The sequence below is a fragment of the Homo sapiens genome, chromosome 21 (genome assembly GCF_000001405.40).
Source record: "Homo sapiens chromosome 21, GRCh38.p14 Primary Assembly".
Taxonomy (NCBI): Eukaryota; Metazoa; Chordata; class Mammalia; order Primates; family Hominidae; genus Homo; species Homo sapiens.
Window position 1 is genome coordinate 27253972 of NC_000021.9, and position 18369 is coordinate 27272340.

The 18369-nt window shown below is 35.8% G+C and overlaps 1 long non-coding RNA gene across 1 annotated transcript in view; it reads right to left on the reverse strand.

Annotated features, from left to right (window-relative positions):
• LOC102724355 (uncharacterized) overlaps positions 1-18369 on the reverse strand; it is a 177651-nt gene that overhangs the window by 80277 nt on the left and 79005 nt on the right. The window contains exon 2 of the long non-coding RNA XR_430359.4: positions 10521-10599. This is a non-coding gene — a long non-coding RNA (uncharacterized LOC102724355). The remainder of the gene's footprint in view (positions 1-10520; positions 10600-18369) is intronic.

Consider the following 18369-nt stretch of genomic DNA (forward strand, 5'->3'; position numbering starts at 1 on the left):
TATTTAGTTTTCAAAGCCTTGTACTTTATACAGGTAGGATTTTGTCTGCATTATCCTGTGATTTGATCTTTTGTTTAAGCATTATGATCCTGGGATTCATTTATGTTATCTTGTGTGTACTTTATTAAGTTTTCAGGCCTGGATTATATTCCATTCCATGCATATACATCAAGATATTTGTTTACTCCATTGTGGATGAATTTGGGTTTCTTTCCAAGATTTTTCTTTTAAGAACAGTGTTATTGTGAATATTCCTATACATGTTTTCTGATTCACAGATATAGATTCTCTAGGACATTGGATTTTATACTTTTGACTATAAAATGCATTTTATTCAACAACCCTATCTAAACATATTGTATAGTGTATAGGAATGAGTTATGTATGTGTTTGTAAAACTAAAACCAAAATAATATAAAATATACCATTAAAATTTCTATTCTACCTACTCTATTCTACTTAGTTCTATTTAATTAAAACAAACAAACAAATGAACAAAAACAACAACAACAACCATGCTGGTCTTGAGCCACTGGAAATCTTGAGCCGACACTAAGTTGTAACCTTTGGTTTCAACACATTGCTCTGTGATATATTTGGCTGCTTTAAGGTATATTGAAGAGTGGAATTAGGAGGCTTAGCATATTTTAGGCCGGATAAGTTACACAAGTGGTGGTAAAACAATCACCCAAACATATTGGAGTCCTCACTGTAGTAACTTTTACATCTCAACACTCATGTAACCTCTGCTACAGGAAAGGAGTGGCGCTTATATCCACATAGACACAGACCCAGATTTACCATGGGTCCTCCAGGGACAAGATAGACCCATGGGTTGTGCATTTTTGTGACTAATGTTTCTTTTGCTCACCGCTCAGTAAGTAAAATCTAGCAGGAAATGTGGCCTATCAGATGAATATCTGGTGAATGCTACTGTCTTTGCCACAGAGGGTATGTGTTTCTTCAACTTAATAGTATTAAACTGTTCTCCAAATGATTGTATCAATTTACACTTTCATTAGCAGTATATACTTATACTGGGAGCTCCACATTGTCACACATACTTGCATTGGCAGGATATTTAATGTTTAATAGGTATGAAATCCTAACTCATTGTGATATTAATTTCTACTACCTTATAAATGAGTTTGATCGTCTTTTTATATGTTTCTGGGTCAATTTCCTTTCTTTCTTTGTTAAATGCCTTTCTTTCTCTGCTGAAGGCATTCTTTGCTATTTTATCTCAGATTATTTGTCATTTTCCTGTTTGGTCTATTAGTGTTATTATATATTCATTATTCTTTTTGTATTCTTTATGTATTATTAGTTGTAAGTGGTGCAAATAATTTCTTTCCCTTTTCATTTTTTACAGTACTTTTGTATAAAATGGATGTAGTTGAATTGATCAGTCTTTTACTTTATGTATACTTTTTGGCTCTTGTCTAAAAATGCTTTCCTTTCTTATGTTGCACAGTGATTTTAAAAATAATTTCCGCTAAAAGTTTTTCCTTCTATATAAAAGAGCTTATTTTCATGTATGGTATGGGGAAGAATAAATTCAGGAAGTTTAATATACCAAATAAATGGGCAGGGATTAGTAATATGGAAAAAGAACAGAATAGAGACTCCAGAAATAAATTATTGCATATAAGAATATTTTAATTTGTAAAACCAGAGGCAGTTTATATCATAGAGGAAATGGTGAGCTTGTCATTAAATGGTGTGGGACAATTGTTCATCCATGTGGAAAAATATTGACATCTATCTGTATTAATCTGTTTACGTGCATTTGTATCTATGTCTAAACATATTCTATATTTATATTATGCTTGCACACCTTCCCCCATCATACATAATAATATGCTCTTTATATTTTTATGTTATGAAATTTTAAATTTTTACTCATACACATTAATCCTGGAATATAGAGACAGATTTGACTTTGGTATATTAATGTTGTATCTAGAAAATTTGATAAACTCATTAATTTTAACATTTATGATCATTTTAAAGGGTTTTCTATACATAGAGTAATGTTATCTAAGAAGAGTAACAGATTACCTCTTTATTTTCATATCTTTAATTTCCTTAATGGCACCATAAGCAGTGAAGTTGTATACTGTCCCATGTATACTTGACCAGAATACATATTCTGAAGTTAATGGTTCAGAATTATATATAAACTCAATCAATCTAGCATTTCATTTGTATGAAGCTGACATAAGTTTTCCTCTCTACTCTCATTGTTACTATTGAATCCTCACAATGTTAAGAGGTAGATTGGGCTGTTATACTCTCAGGCTTAGAGAAGTTGAATAACTTGACTTAGGCCAAACACTTAGTAAGTGGAAGATGATCACAGGTTTCTGTCTCCAATTGCCGTGCAATTAACCTATATGCTACTCTGGCAACTCTAACTGAAAAAAGGTAAGTTTACTCCAGGATAAAACCAGTGAAAAACAGCAATCTTTTTATTAAACCATATTCTTGTCTAGTCTCTTCTACAGAGTGACCTTGAAAGCAATCTCAGTGTTTTCTAGGGCAAACTAAATTGATGACACTTTTTGATAAAGTCCCAGAATCATCTTATTGACAACCACATTACACATTCAAGTTATTACCCTATTGCATATCCACATTAAAGATATTCAATTTGGTGATTAGCGGTTCAACTTAACAAATTAGCTAAATTCCTTCCTTTTTCTATTTTTCTTGATAATATAAATACAAACTCTGAGATGTCCCCTGGTCTCTGGAAAGGTGTAATTTAAATGACAGCTGAGTTTTGTATCACAAAAGAACTCAAATAGAGAAACGATTCGTAATGGATTTTATCACTTTGTTAATCATTTAAAGCTACCTTGCATGACAGAGACAGATAACTCTTCACTCTTTAGCCATTTAATATATGAAGATATTAAACCTCTTGAGTATTCTTGATGGAATACATCAGACGATATTTATTTTCTTACTGGGCAAGCACTCTAGTATATTAAAGAAGAAGAAGCTGTTATTCAACCGAAGTTTTAACTAGACTGACTCTGGGGCTCATAATGGTAATCCACAATTTGCCAAGATATTTATTCTATTCCATTTGAGCAGCAGCATGGTTTAATGAGAAACATTGCTCTTTCCTATGGCTTCTGTAGCACTGTAATTTTACCACATTATTTGTATTATGGGATATTTGATTGTCATTTCTAATCCTTCATTCTTCCCAATATCATTCTCTTTGCCATGTGACTTTATATTTCCTCTCACTAGTAGTGGAGTATATTTCCCCGCCCCATTGACGCTGAATTTTGCCATGTGATTTTCTTTGGTCACTGTCATACGAGTAAAAATGACTGTGGCAGTTCCAAATCTAGACTTTTAACAGCATTGCCCATTTATGCATACCCCTCTTGCATTTCTGCCATCGTAATTAGAAGAATATGCCTTGGCAAATCCGTTGATCCAAGGAAGATTAGAGACACATGTAATACAGCCCCAGTCTTCAGCTTGATTCCAAGGGTAGCCAAATTCAGCTCCTTAATCAGCCAGCTTCCAGCTGACCTGCAAGCACACGAACTTGAACAAGTGATTGTTGTAAGCCACTAGTTTTTAGGGAGTTTTTCTCTTCCAAGACATTATTGCTGCAATTGGTGGTTTATGTACATACGTTCAAGAAATGCCTTCAAAACTCTTGTATGTTAGACACTAACCTAGATGTTGATTAAATAGTAGATGAAAGAATAGTGATATATGTTCTCATAAACTACCATTTAGAGAGTGATAGAGACAAGTTGATGGATAATAAAATATAATATGGGTAAATGTTTTGATCAGAGCATGGTGTTGTGGGAATATATGAGCCTGGTGCCTCATTTATACCTGTGGGTTTGCCTTAACTCTCCATAAGAAGTCATGACTATGTCAACAGTGGGACTGGTAAAAACTGTATAAAGGAATGACATTTACTCCAAATAGAGTTAGCAGTGTGAGTGATCAGAGGGCATAGAGTACTCGATGAGCTGGAAGGAGATGAGATTGGCTATAGTGAATGTTGGAGGAAGAGTGGAGGGAGAAGCTTGTAATGTATGTGCTTTAGCTAATGCAACACCATGGTAACTATTATAGTGTTTGGACTTGACTCAAGAGCAATGGTACTGGTGGTGTTGTTAGGAGGGAATTCTAGTTTTCCTTTACTACACCTGTTATTATTTAGTTGTCTTTCCCATGAGAAGATGAGAATATCGGTATCCTCAGTGCCAGACAAATTGCTTTTTCCTGGAGCATACATTTAATGCATTCAATGTGTAAAATGGCATTTAACACACTGAATGCATTACAGATTTATATGTGCCAGTTTCAGTTTCTGGGAGGCAAATGGGGATGTGAACAAAACAAATGGTTAGTCATGTTTCATATAAGTTTAGGATCAACTTATTAGATCATCTTGAATGCCTTTCCCTGCCAATTCAGGATGAATTAAACTCTGGCCTAGCCATTTCCCAGTGGTTTGTCTAGCCTAATTTTAAAATAATCAAACGAAGGGACTTAAATTAGCTGGGGAAATTATTCCATGCTTTAATAGATTTTGATGCTAGGAATGTTTTTCTGACAGTCTAACCAAATTTTCCTTCCACGATTTTATCCCATTACTTTTAGTTCCGATTTAAAACCATCTGAATACTCTCTTTTCCTTTTAAGTAGTCACACAATCACCTAATGTTAATATCAGTGGTTTTCTTTCCTTCATTTGCCAGACCCTTGTTTTTTCACACATATTGAAGTTACATTTTTTTCTCTAGATTTATTAGCTTACATATTTTGGTCCATTTTACTCTATTTTTCATCCGGGCTTTAACACTTATATCCTGTTTATATCATCTTCCCCAGTAGTATTTGTATCATGTCCCCGATGAGGATAATTAGTGAGCTGTTTGTTCTCCTTTCAAAGCCATGAATAGAGATGTTCTGTAAAATGAAGCTCTTACGCTGATCTTCACTTGGTCCGCTGGGAGACTTCCTCACAGCTATGCACTCTGCCCTTATCATGAGTTGTTTTTTACATTTCTTCCAGTTTTCAAAATATGTTAGTAGCAAAACATGCAAATCTACTGAAAATTGTCAAATATGTGCTTGCGATGTGTTCAACAAAAGAGAACCAATTAAAATATGTTTTTGATTTAGACACTACAGAGTACAGAGTCTTAGTACTCAGGATCTGTAGTTAAGGTTCCTTCCAAGAGACAATAACTTCATGACAAATTGCACACTCAGCAAAGCTGTCGAGACTGGGTCTTGGCAGTTTTTGTCCATGGTGGGAAGTGTTAGCAGAGCTTTGACTTTTCGCAGCGCTTGGCGTATTGAGTTGAAGCAGGAGATTTTCAGGGAAGTGTTTTTCATGTCTGGCTACTCTCGATTTGGAAGAAGCATTAATTCTAGGGTGATCAACTCCTTTGCCATGCCCTAACATTAGCATTGTTGGCTACTCTTTGGTTCTAAAGAACATTTTCCAAAATTGTTTTTTTTTTTTTTGTATGGTCTTGTTAAAAAAAGAATGTTACGTGGAAATGTAAAGATGGAAACGGGGGAGGAAATGAACATAGAGGATGAGCAAATATTGAACTATTAGGCATACACACAAATATTTCCCTCTCTATATACAAAGACACTTTCCCAAAATGTTAGAAATGGAGAAAATCTCTAGTTCTGAATTAGGCAATTGTGTTAAATACAGTGTCTTCTGCCCAAAAGAACATACACTCCAGATATAACCAGTGGAGGACACACTAAGGAAGATCTACACGTTTTGAAAGGCTGCATGAATCATTTTTCTTCTGTCTCAGGACAACCCAGTTGGGGCACGTCTAGTGTTACTCCCAATTCTGAGATCAGGAAAATTAGGATTAGATAGTTGGACTGACTTGTCAAAGGGCCACCTATGAGTAAATGCTGCAACTGAATTCTAACTCAGGGTTGTCAGATAGCTGAGCCAGGTTTTAAATGCCATATATACTGCACTTAAATGAGGTAATCAACGTAAAATATCATGCCTGACAAATAGTACAAGCTTCTTATCCATTGACTGTTATTACTAATCTGGATGAATAGTGTGACTTATTGCTTCTAAACCAAATCCAAGATTTTTGAAACAGTAGCTGTTGCCAAAATGCTATGAGAAAACTCTTCTAAGAGATCCCCATGTGCTGATATGAAAAAAATATATTTTCTGCAAAAATAAGTTTATTTTCTTTTAGTTAAACACAAATAAAAACTTGAAAAAGTGTTATAGTGACTTTTTGGTAATCTTGCTTTGCCGTTAATTAGCTTTGTGAGATCTTTGAGTTAATTCTTCTAGCTTCAGTTGTTTTATTGTAAAATGAAGGTACTATGAGAAGTTATAAAATGAGAGGATTCAAATGAAAGTACCCTGAGGATGACACAGCACTGCAGAGATGCATATGAATACTATTACTACTGTTACTACCCTCAATTTCCCATCTAGACCGTTAGGAGTTGAATGGTGGCCCTGAAAAAGGTAAGTCCACATCCTAATGCCTGGAACCTGTGAATGCTGCCTCATTTGGAAGAGGAGGTTTCACAGAGGTAATCAAATTAAAGATTTGGATATGAGGAGATTTAAGGTGCATGATCTGGGTGGACCCTAAATCTAATGACAAATGTCCTTAAAGAGACATATAGAAAAGACACACACAGAGGAGAAGGTTATGTGAAGACAGAATCAGAGCTTAGACTAGTCTACAAGTCCAGGAATGTCAACAACCAGCAGAAACTGTAAGAGGTTTTCCTAGAACCCCCAGAGGAAGCAGGTCCCTGACGTTATCTTAATTTCAGACTCTTCATCTCCACAGTTCTGAAAGAATAAATTTCTGTTGTTTTACGCCAGCTAGTTTGTGGTAGCCTCATGAAACCAAAAATAAATAAATAAATAAATAAATAAATAAATAAATAAATAAAACAAAAAAACCCCACAAAAATGGTATGATTCTAATGCTTTAATGTATTTAATTTAACTTGAGCTTCTAACTTATCCATTAAAATGACAAGTTTAAATGGATCATTCTTAAATTCCTTTCTAAGGGCAATAACAGTTAATTAGATGTAAGTTTTCTTACCAGTGTGTTTTGAAAATGTACCCAGTTTAGAAGATAAAGAAAGAAACTTGGGATATTAAAGAGGAAGGTTAAAAATGCGCAGGGTACCGAAGCTGGTGGTGTTTAAGGAAAGCACGAAGGTAGAAAATAGAACAGTCCTGATCTCCAGGTATTCTTCAGGAAAAAAAAAAATTAAAAGCTATATTGACTCTAGATAATTAACACATTTTGTATATCTTACCTCAATAATTTAGGTTTACATTGAAGGTATCTTTTTTATGGCAAATGTTCCTATTTTTTGAGACAAGAAATAAAGTGCATATATGAAAAAAAATTCATAACGAATTCAAAAATTCATGTTTTGAGAGGCAGTTTTCAAGTTTAAATTATAATGGAACTACTTTCATATATATCTTAGAAGTAAAATTATGCATATCATATTTCCACATTTGATTAAGGTTTTCTGTGAAGTAGACAGCTTTTAGACTATTTACTAATTTAGCAGTAGCATTTTATTGATTAATAAACATTTTTAGTTGATCAGCAGGATGTAGAACTTAACTTATTGTAAAGTATTTTATTTAGATAGAATACTTTTTTTTACATTGGATTAACACAAATTGGGTAAAAATTGCTTTCCCTGTTAATTTAAATTAGCTCTAAAATGCTAATCCAGTCGTTTAATTATTCGACTCCTAGCCAAATTGTTTTTGTGTTTTTAAAGTTTTCAGTGTGTGACATGAAAGCAAAACAGAAGAAAACAAAGCCCAAACCACAAGCCTGTTAAAAGTTATTTCAGATGACTCAAGAAGCCAGGGATTAGAGAATTCTATGTACAAGTCCTATTCACTATGCTCTGTTTCTATCTTGAAAAGATGTGAAAACCCTAAGACAACATTTAGAATAGTAGTTGCTTAAGACTGAAATTAATTTCAGTTGCCTATACTCAAAATATACTATTAGAATGCCAAATTTTTGTGTATTAAACTTTTTTCTTTTTTAAAAACATAGCCATGTTTATTACCTAAGCAACATCTACTGCTTTCGGATTCCATGAGTGATGGATAATAGATATGTTAACAGAGGATTATTTTGATTGATAGACAGATTCATTCATTAATTTATAAACACTTTACACGTGTATTTACTGAACATATGTTATGTTCTAAATACTTATCTAGGAGCTAAACATACAATGGTGACAAAATTGGTGAAGATTTTCAAGTGGCTTCCATTGCAGCAGAGGTGGCCACACGTTAAAAGATAAGCAAATTATCATGAAGGCAATGACAGATAAAGTGATAGGAAGTGTTGATGGTAAAGAGGCAGGAAAGCATAACAGCAGGTGGGGTGGGAAATGTAGCTGGGGTCAGATCAGGGCCTCTGGGCCAGGGGAACATGCATTCATGTTGAATGTATTAACCTTGGTGAGATTCTGAAGCCTAAACATAAACTACCACGTATTATGATTGATTTCTCTGAAGTCACCCCATTGCATGTGGTGTCAGCCCCACAGAAAGATTATTTTGATTGCAAGGGTAAATGGGGACTAGAAATTAAAAGGAAAGATATCAAAGAAGAAGACATTCTACCAACCTTCACCAGAATATGTACTTTACCTTTATTGTCTCTGTAGGGTTCAAGTAAACAATTTGATTTTTCAATTACGTTTGGTGAGAGTTTAGTGATTTTTTTTTTCCGGTCATGTCACTGGTTTTGTAGCATGTGGCTATTTATTGATTAAATCAATAAGTCAATCAACAGATAGCCAGTTTCAGTTAGTTAATTTGTTGATTTAATCAATAAATAGCCACATGTTACAGAAACTGCAACTGGCCTGTAAAGCTCTCTTGATAAACACTTAATGGTCCTCATACTGCCTTAAAGGGACCACTGGAATGGGATTTAGTTTGTGTTCACTCTGTCAGGTCAGTTGACTCTTTTCCCTTTTAGGGAGGAATGGCTTTGAATTGGCCTTTTTGGGCTTTAAAAGGAAAGGCATCAAGGGAGTCTCCTGAGTCTGCGGAGACAGAGTTGGTGAGTAAGTAGATGGTAATATATACTATAGGCACCTTCTGAGAGGGCTCTTGGTGATTCTGCTACTGGGAGTCAGGCGTCCATACCCTTGAGTATGGACTAGACTCAGACTCATTTACAATGAACAGGAAATAGTAAAGGTGATGAGATGTTGCTTCTGAGGTTAGGTTAGGGCAATCATTACTCATATCTTGTAAATTCATTTATCAAATGTTTTCATAGCTCATATCTAGGTAAATCAGTTCAGCAGGAGGGTGGGCATTCTTCAGGGTGTAGGAAAGCTCTATTTCTTTGCTTTGCTGAGCACAGAAATGGCTTGGCCACACCTATCTTTCCTGTCAACATACATTCAACCATGTGCTATGCACACGTACACACATGTGCATGCACACACACATACATGCCTACACTACTTTCAGAGGTAAAACTAGAAAATTCTCAGAACATACAAAGAATCTTCTGGCCAACACTACACATTCTAGGAGGTAGTAGGTAGTAGAAAAATACCACCTCCATTTATATAAGGCAGCATCAGAGGTGTGATTTGTGAGGCCATCAGAGACAACTAGAAAGTGATCTGTAAGCAAGAAAATAGCAACTCATGACTGTTGTTTCTAATAGCACTAGAAGAGCAAGTATTGGAATTGTCCCTAATGACATGGATATTTCAAGATAAATATTTGAAAGCAATACTATGACGACCCTTTGGCCACCAAACAGTTTTACTCAACTCTCATCTTCTTACATTGGAGGAAAACAATCATACCTTAAAAGAGCTGTTTACCTTAGCTCTTCTGTGATTCACAGCAACCCAATTTGAAATTATATAGGGGAAGCTAAATAAATTAACTTCTGGCTTCTGTCTATATTTTATCTAAAAGTGGTCCATATTTTTTGGCTTCCTAATTCTAAAGGCATAACATTCATCAGTATTATATTTGAATATGAATTTTCTCAATGAATAATTCAAAGATAAAAAATTTACAGGTGAAACCTTAATCTAGGTTTTTTTTTATTTGTCATTCAAAGGAAATTTAATTCTCTCAGTAAGAATAAAAGATTATTTAATAGCCACTGTTCAAGGTGGAGATATGTGCCCTTATTCTCAGCCTGATTACAATCTAATTAGAGACAAAAAGCAAAGAAGGCATACTCAACAATAAGTATCATAACTAAGGGAACAAACAGGGATCACAGGAATTGACTGAATGCTGGTATTATTCCCAGCTGTGGAAATTAGGAAACTATTAATAGGTTACGTGCTGCAATTGGAAACGGATAATTAAAAGAAGAGCACATTTCAACAAGTATTAAGAAGGGGACATTTTTAGTCAGAGAGAAGAATGTGAATTGAAGGTAAGCATGCAGTATTTGGCTTACCTGGGTGACAGTACACTGATATGGTAGGAGTCAGGCCACAGAAGATAACGTGTGCCTCCTGAAGGGGTATGGAATCTGTCTGGGGAAGAGACAGATTTTAGTGTTAGCAACGTGGAGCATGGATTAAAGGTGTGGAAAGTCAGAGACCTGTTAAGAGGCTATTATGATATACCTTCTGAGGAATGATAAGAACCTAGACTAAAGCAGTGAAAAGAGAAGCAGAGAGTGAATAGAATGAATGTGAAAGATATTAGACAAAAGTAATAACATGATTGGCTGGGTAGTTTTTGTTGTTGTTGTTCTTTTTTTGAGACAGTGTCTCACTCTGTCATCCAGGCTGGAGTGCAGTGGCCTGATCACAGCTCACTGCAACCTGCACCTCCCAGGCTCAAATGATCCTCCCACCTTAGCCTCCCAGGTAGCTGGGACTACAGGCATGTGCCACCACAGCTAATTCTTATTTTTTTATTATTTTTTTTTTCTGTAGAGATGGGGTTTTGCCATGTTGTCCTGGCTGGTCTCAAACTCCTGAGCTCAAGCAATGCTCCCACCTCAGCATCCCAAAGTGTTGGGATTACAGGTGAGAGCCTGTGTCCGGCTGGCTGAATGATTTATGTAAGGAGAGATGAGACATAACGCAGATGTCTTAGGGTATTATATTGATGATGATATTGACAACCAAGACAGAAAAATAGGAGAGAGGAATATTTAAGCAAAAAGTTAATCAGAAAAATTTTGAATATTTTGAAGTATCTTTAGAATTTTTACATGAAATTATTGCAGTAGATTGATGCCTTTATGTCTCTAAAACTATAGAGACGTATGAGATAAAAATATAGATGTGGAAGTCATTGTCATATGCTACATTCGTGGTAGATGAACAGTTACAGAGAGAAGAAGGCTGAGAATATGTTATTAACTTCAAATAGAAAGTGAAGGAGATAGGAAATACATCTGCTATGTGGTAGGTTTTTTATTTTATTGGACACAAGAGCAGAGAGATAGGATGAGCCAGAGTAATACAAGTTAATGGAATCAATAAAAAGAAGCTTTGGGAAAGAACAGTAATATAAAATGCCACAGAGAGGGCAAAGAGGAGCATGAATGAGAAAATGCTGTTAAGCTTGATCAGAGGTAACTTTCAATAGACTGGTTTCAGTGGTGAGATGGTGGTGAGAAAAATGAAGGAGACTCAAACTGCATAGGCTTACAAAGACAGTATTTGGTTAAAGTGTAGGCAGGAAGCACTGGCTTAATTCAACAAGTTTATAGGTGAAAACAAAAGAGATAGGCTTAAGAGAAAGGTAGTTAGAGGACATGGAAATTGAGCATGTTTATGGGTAATAGAGTATAAAACCAGTAGAGAGACCGAAAAGACAAGACAGAATCTGTAATTGACATAGAACATTATTCAAGCAGGAATGTGTTAAGGGGAAATATATAGACACTTGATCTGTGGCATTTATAAAAGGGAGAGTCTTCCTCCAAACAAGCTAAAGTGAGGGAAGAAAAAAGTCCTAAGAAAATACAAAGAAACTCTAAGGAGAGGAGGGAAGTGAAGAGATCATATGCCAGGTGGTCTTGATAATTTCAGAGAATTTTCGCTGAGATCATTTGTTCATCTGTTGAAATTTATGCTCCTGGGGAGGGTTGGAGATTTCAAGATGTTGAAAAAAGTTTGGATCGGTTGCTATAGGGAGTGAAATACAGAGTCAACAGTGAAGTTTGAATCACTCTCATTTCTAATAAAATCAGTAAGTTGAAACCACTTTTTTTCCTCCAGCCATGCACATTTGTACAGATAGGAGCAAAGAAAACAGATAATGAGAATTTCCCAGGGCTGGAATTGGGGAAAAGAAGGGTGGACCCTGCAGGAGGCATTACAGATACATTGCAAGAGGGTTCTTAAACTGTTTGAATAAGAAGTTGCAAACTGGGTTGAAAGAAAAGTGAAATCAAATTGGCACCAGGGACGACTACAGCATGGAGAGATCAAAGGCACAAGGATCACAGCAAAAACACAAATCAGGTTCTGCATGGGTTATGAAAGAGCAGGTGGTATTCAGGTTGAAGCAGTGGCCAGAATCTGAGGACGTGAAGAGAAGCGGTTTCTGGAGACAGCTAGGGTGTGGACATGTTAGTAAAGGCTTGAGTTGGAGCGGGGATGGAGGCCACTGGAGTTCAATAATTTTAAAAAGTGTGAGGCCACGGTGTGAGAGTGATGACAAGAAAGGGAGAGAAGGGTATTGTAAACGAGGTGACTAAGCCAGTAAGGAAATTTTCCTGAGAGTTCTCTACGTAAGAAAGAGAGAGTGAGAGAGAGAGACAGAGAGAAAGAGGAGATTAGCTATTTAATTATTTCCATTGACATGGGGATTGTTTTCTGGGGAATTATTAGCCATATACATTGTCAGTTTTGGTTGCTATGCTAGGCCAAAGTTGAGTCCATGGGTTTTACATCAATTTAGTCATAATCAAAGTGCCTTATGGAAATGTAGGATCATAACTTGAAGCACACAATAACCACCAGAGCCAATCTAGACTGAGTCTTGTGTTTACCTTTTGGGGCCTCAATTTTAGATAGACTTTACACATTGAAACAGATCCAGTAAAGAGCAAACAGTGTAGCAGAGAGAACTCAAAGCCATTATGATACTAGTAGGCTGGAGGAGGTCCCCAAATGCCAGCTGGACCTCAATCTCAGCTGGTATCCAGGTTCTTGACCCTGTCACGGGAAATAATGCAAGGACAAGTTGGAAAATAGTGAAAGAACGGAGATTTAATATTACAAAGTGAAAAGTATACACTCAAGGAAACGGAGTGCAGGTGTACTCCAGAGTGTCACACCAGAGGCTTTGAGGTTTCTACCTTTATGGGTTTCTTTAACCAAGGGGTGGAATATTCACGATGGCCCCTGGACAAAGGTTAAGATTTCTTGGAACTGTGGTGCCACCCGTTTTTACACTAAATATGGTTGTTCTCAGAACTATCATGACGCTGGTGGGTGTATGACTTAGTATGTTAATGAGTGTATAATGAGGTCCTAGGTGAGACTTAGGTCAAATCCAGTGCATGTTGGGTCCAGTTGGCCTTAGCCAGATTGGTTCATCCTCTGTTTTGTTCAGGGTCTTGTCAGCCCCTAGCTTATGCAACTATTTCAATAGTTTCCTTTTGCTAGTCGTGTGAAATTGCTGCCTGGAATTTTCTATTCTCCTGCAACCACCCTGTCTTCTTCCTGTCTCAATTATCATATTGGGGATGTAATTTTTGAGCAATGAAAAGATTCAAGGGTGATACATTTCTCAAGTTCAATCTTTCCAGTAAAAATATAAATTTGACTTAGCAATTGTGACTCTGGAGGCTGGAACTAGGACCAATGGATGGAAATTATTGAGAGGCAAATTTTGACTTAATTCGAGGAAAAAAAAATTGTTTCTTCTTAAAGCAACGAGTCCCATGCCATGAAAAGTGTTCATAATAGACTAGTGAGACAATTCTTGCATACACTGAAGTCCACATGGACACAATTGGCATTGTTTTGGAACTTGTTATGAATGCAGAATCTCAACTGCCATGCCGAACCTACATTTTAACAACATCCTCAGTCCTGAAGATGCCATCTATGGTAAAGCATTGATCTAGAAGACTTTCCTCCATTGGGTACACAGTTGGGCTACACAGCCTATAGTCTCTTCCTGTTCTGTGATTTCTGTCATGTATTCTGATTTTAAAAGCAATTCTGTCCTTCCTTAGTTTGTCTCTGTCTTTTAAAATTTCAAACACTAAGTGAAAAAGCCTAGTGAACTTTTAATCTTCATGTTAAGTTTAATTTTATGAGATTATTTTCGTATGACATCACTACTTAAATCATCTACATAGTAAAAACTTCAAAGTGCAACTTTTTGAAAATAGCTTTGTGATTCATGAATGGTATAATTGAAATATTGTTTTAACAGTACTTCAAAACCAACAAAAACAATACTATCTGCAAAATGTATGTAACACTCTCCCTGTACCACAGCCCTTTCTTATAATTCACTGTTGACTCATGGAGAATCACTGTAGATTTTGTTTTTCTTCACTAATAATTTACTGTAGCTGGCTTGTGAAAACCGCATAGGGAAGAAGAATTGTTGCTTTCTTGCTATGTCTTGCTTTTACTTTAGTACCTCCATTTAAAAGCAAGTTAACTGTCTCCTATTTTAATTACTCAGCTTTCTCTAAGGTCTTGGAATTTTTCTTCTGAGACAACTCAAGCCTTGTTTTACTTTTAAATGCCTGCTGAAAGTAACAGTGATTTGTTTATCAACAGAGTAAAGAATTGATAAGCTATGGTAGTAATTATTTTTATTTTTTTGTTTAGAAAGCACATTCCTTGAGTTTTCCTCCAAATGGAAAGAATTTTTAATTGGCATAAATATGATACAGCTCCCTTGTAACTGAGAAACATCATAGAAATGAATAGGGCTTTGAGTAAAACAATGTTTCTCATGACCTGATATTGTTTTGTTTGTGTGTGCAACAACTGGGCTTTATAAAAAATTCTACTGTCAGCAGTGGTACATCACAGTTTACAATCTCTCCCTTCCAAAGGGAGTACTATCACTACTTAGAAAAGTAGCTGATTTATGGCAAGAGGCAACAAATAAGAAATCATGGTTTTTATAGTGAAAGAAAGATAGAGTTTAGTGTAAAGTTTCTCTTATTTGAATTGGAGAAAGATTTGCTATTTGTGATGAACAATATACTTGGCAATATAACTGAAGACTTGCTAAGTCAAATAGTCTATTGTCTCATGACAACTACATTGTGGACAAAAAAAACATGTAAAACATGTTTCTCCTTGCTTTGCAAATTCTTTAATAACACTTTTACATGTGAGGCCCAAATATGAGAGTGATATCAAACAGTTTACATTTGTGTTCAAGTGATAACCTCAAATCCTACTAATTAGTATATTTTTTTAATTTACCACTTATCCACTGTGTTCCTTTCCTTTCTGTTCCTACTGACATATCTTTAAAGTATCTATTTATTTAAATAAGCTTAGTCCTCTATTTGAAAACTATGAAAAAAAATCAACATAAACTTTTCAGCAGCATGGAAGACTATTTTTTAATTTTTGAAAACAAAAACATGTTTTAAAATCTTGCTGCTCAAATGGTATTCCTTTGGGGTCCTGGAAGTTTAAGGTATTTTCTCATTTGTTTACAAATTACAAATTTACAAATTTTCTCTTAAGTGAAACAACTTCTTGCAATCTTTTCTTATGCAATTCTTGGGATTTGCAACATGACCCTTTTCTTTAGCCAATCCACTTTTTCAGACTTGTCTCCTTCCCTCCCTCTCCCTTGAGTCACTAGTCCTGGAGCTTCTTGAGGTTGCTGAATCACCACTTATCTGCAGGCCTACTTGACCTCAGCATCCTTATTGACAGTATTCCTCTGCTTGAGGATCCTTTCTTTTCCATGTCATGTACCCATGCATATTCATCTTTCAATATCTGCATCTAATAGGTTTTATTAGGTTATTTTCACACTGCTATAAAGAACTACTTGAGACTGGGTAGTTTATGAAAAAAAATGATTTAATTGACTCACACTTCCACAGGCTGTACAGGAAGCATGGCTGGGAGGTCTCAGGAAACTTATAATCATGGCAGAAGGCAAAGGGGAAGCAAGTATTTCTTACCATGGCAGAGCAGGAGAGAGCAAGCTAATGGGAAGTGCACACTTTCAGACACACTTTCAAACAACCAGATCTCATGAGAACTCCCTCATTGTAAGGAATACAGTTGGTGCAGTGGGAGTCACCCTTGAATTACTGTAACCAGAAACATCAGTATCACTCACTGTCACAAAAACAGCAAGGGGGAAGTCCACCCCCATGTTCCAATCACCTCCCATCAGGTCCCATCTCCAACATTGGGAATTACAATTTGTCATGAGATTTGGGTGGAGACATAGAGCCAAACCATATCATATGTGTTATCTCCATAACTATTTCGATGGTAATTCAGCTAGAAATTCTCTTCTTCTGCTCTTAGAGCTTATGATTCTTTCTTTCACTAGTAAGCCCTCAAAACATGGAGATTTGGCTGATACTCTCCACTGCTGTGTATAAGTTCACTCACTGACTCATCCATGGCTTTATTATGTATTCATTATTGTATCCATTATTGTATTGAATAAGTGTTAAGAACTTTTGGAAGTCACTTTTTAGAAGGGAAAAAAGGCTATGGCACAATCAGTCCTTGTAAAAAGTGCAATGAATGTTATGGTAGAAGAGATATGTGTGATCTTGCCTGGTGGCTCCAGCAGATGAAACAAATGACATAGAAATATATTAACCTGCCATTAATGGGACATGTCACATCATTTTTTGAAAGCTTATAAAATAATGCAAACTTAGTGTATGAGGTTGGCCTGTTAGTATTTTTTATCTATTAGTAGGAGTGTTTTCGTTTGTTAGAGAGAGAAGTAAGAAGACATACACCACATCACAATGCAACTTGAGAAAAGGGAATGCAAATGAAAGCCAGGCGTTATCATTTGTGCTTTTCTATTTTGATCTGATTCCCTCTGAGTTTTAGAAGCACCAAGGATGTGGCCGTTTTCGAAGTAAAAAAGAGGTTTTGATTTGGTTTATTGATTCCAGGAAATGACAGGACAGCAGGTATACCTCAATCCATGACACAATTGACCTTAGCCAAGGTCTAACATAGACATATCCCTCTGTCATACCAAGACTTATCAATGATTGTCCTAAAAATAGTTAAAATTTGAAGATGTGTGTTGTGTTAATATCCATTTCAGCTCATCAATGTCTGCCACAATACTTTAATGCTTTTCTGATTTTTCAACTAGTGGGAGTATAATCACGAAAAGTTACCATTTATTGAGATCTATGTGTCTCACATCTTTCTTTGCACTCTAAATTTCAGATTAATTCTGAAAACTAGGCATTGTTTTCCCCATTCTGTAGCTAAATAAGTCAAAACTTAGAAATACTATATAACTTGCCCAGGACTACATGGTGAGAAAGCCACAGACATAGACTGGGAACTCAGAAATGTCAAATTTCCAAGACATAAACTTGGCAGTCTCCTTTATGCCACAGTGATTCTCATAGAAAAACATATCACTTAATACACATGAGATGTAGAAACTAATCCCATAGGAGCATTGGATCTCTTTGTGCCTGGTGGTAGAGTTTAAGTACAGTTAACAAGTATAATGTGAAATTAGCATTTATGGAGTTTCACAAGTTTGAAAAAGAACCCTTTGTAAGTTTTCCTGAAATTTCTTACTCAACAAAATAATTGTTGTTGATGTTTTTTCTTAATCAAGCTCTTAATATCTGTCTGTAAAACAAGACATTCCTAATGGCCTGTTATACAGTTTTATAGAATGTGGCTAGGACTTAGTATGATCTTGTATTTCTTTAGCTCCAGTATAGCCATGTTCTTTATCACAAGCTCAAACCAGATTTGTTAAATTTTGCCTGTTGAGTAATTGGATTCCCAGTAACATTGGGTGGAGTTCATATTATGACCATAATAATGACTTGTAATAATTTGAGCAGATGTTCTTCATATTAATTTATGGTGCATAGGTCCAATTTATTTATTTTGTTTCTAAGTGAAGGGTTCTTACTGGTTTCATATCTGCCAAAATGTGAATTCTGCCCTTAAAATAAAAAGGAACTGAATTGGTTGTCATCCCCATCGTCGTAAGGCATGCAGTTGGCGCAGTGGGTGTCACCTTTGAATTATTGTAACCAGAAATATCAGAGGATGATAAGAATAAAACAAGTGAAAATAGGCAACAGATTGTTAAGCCAAGCAGAC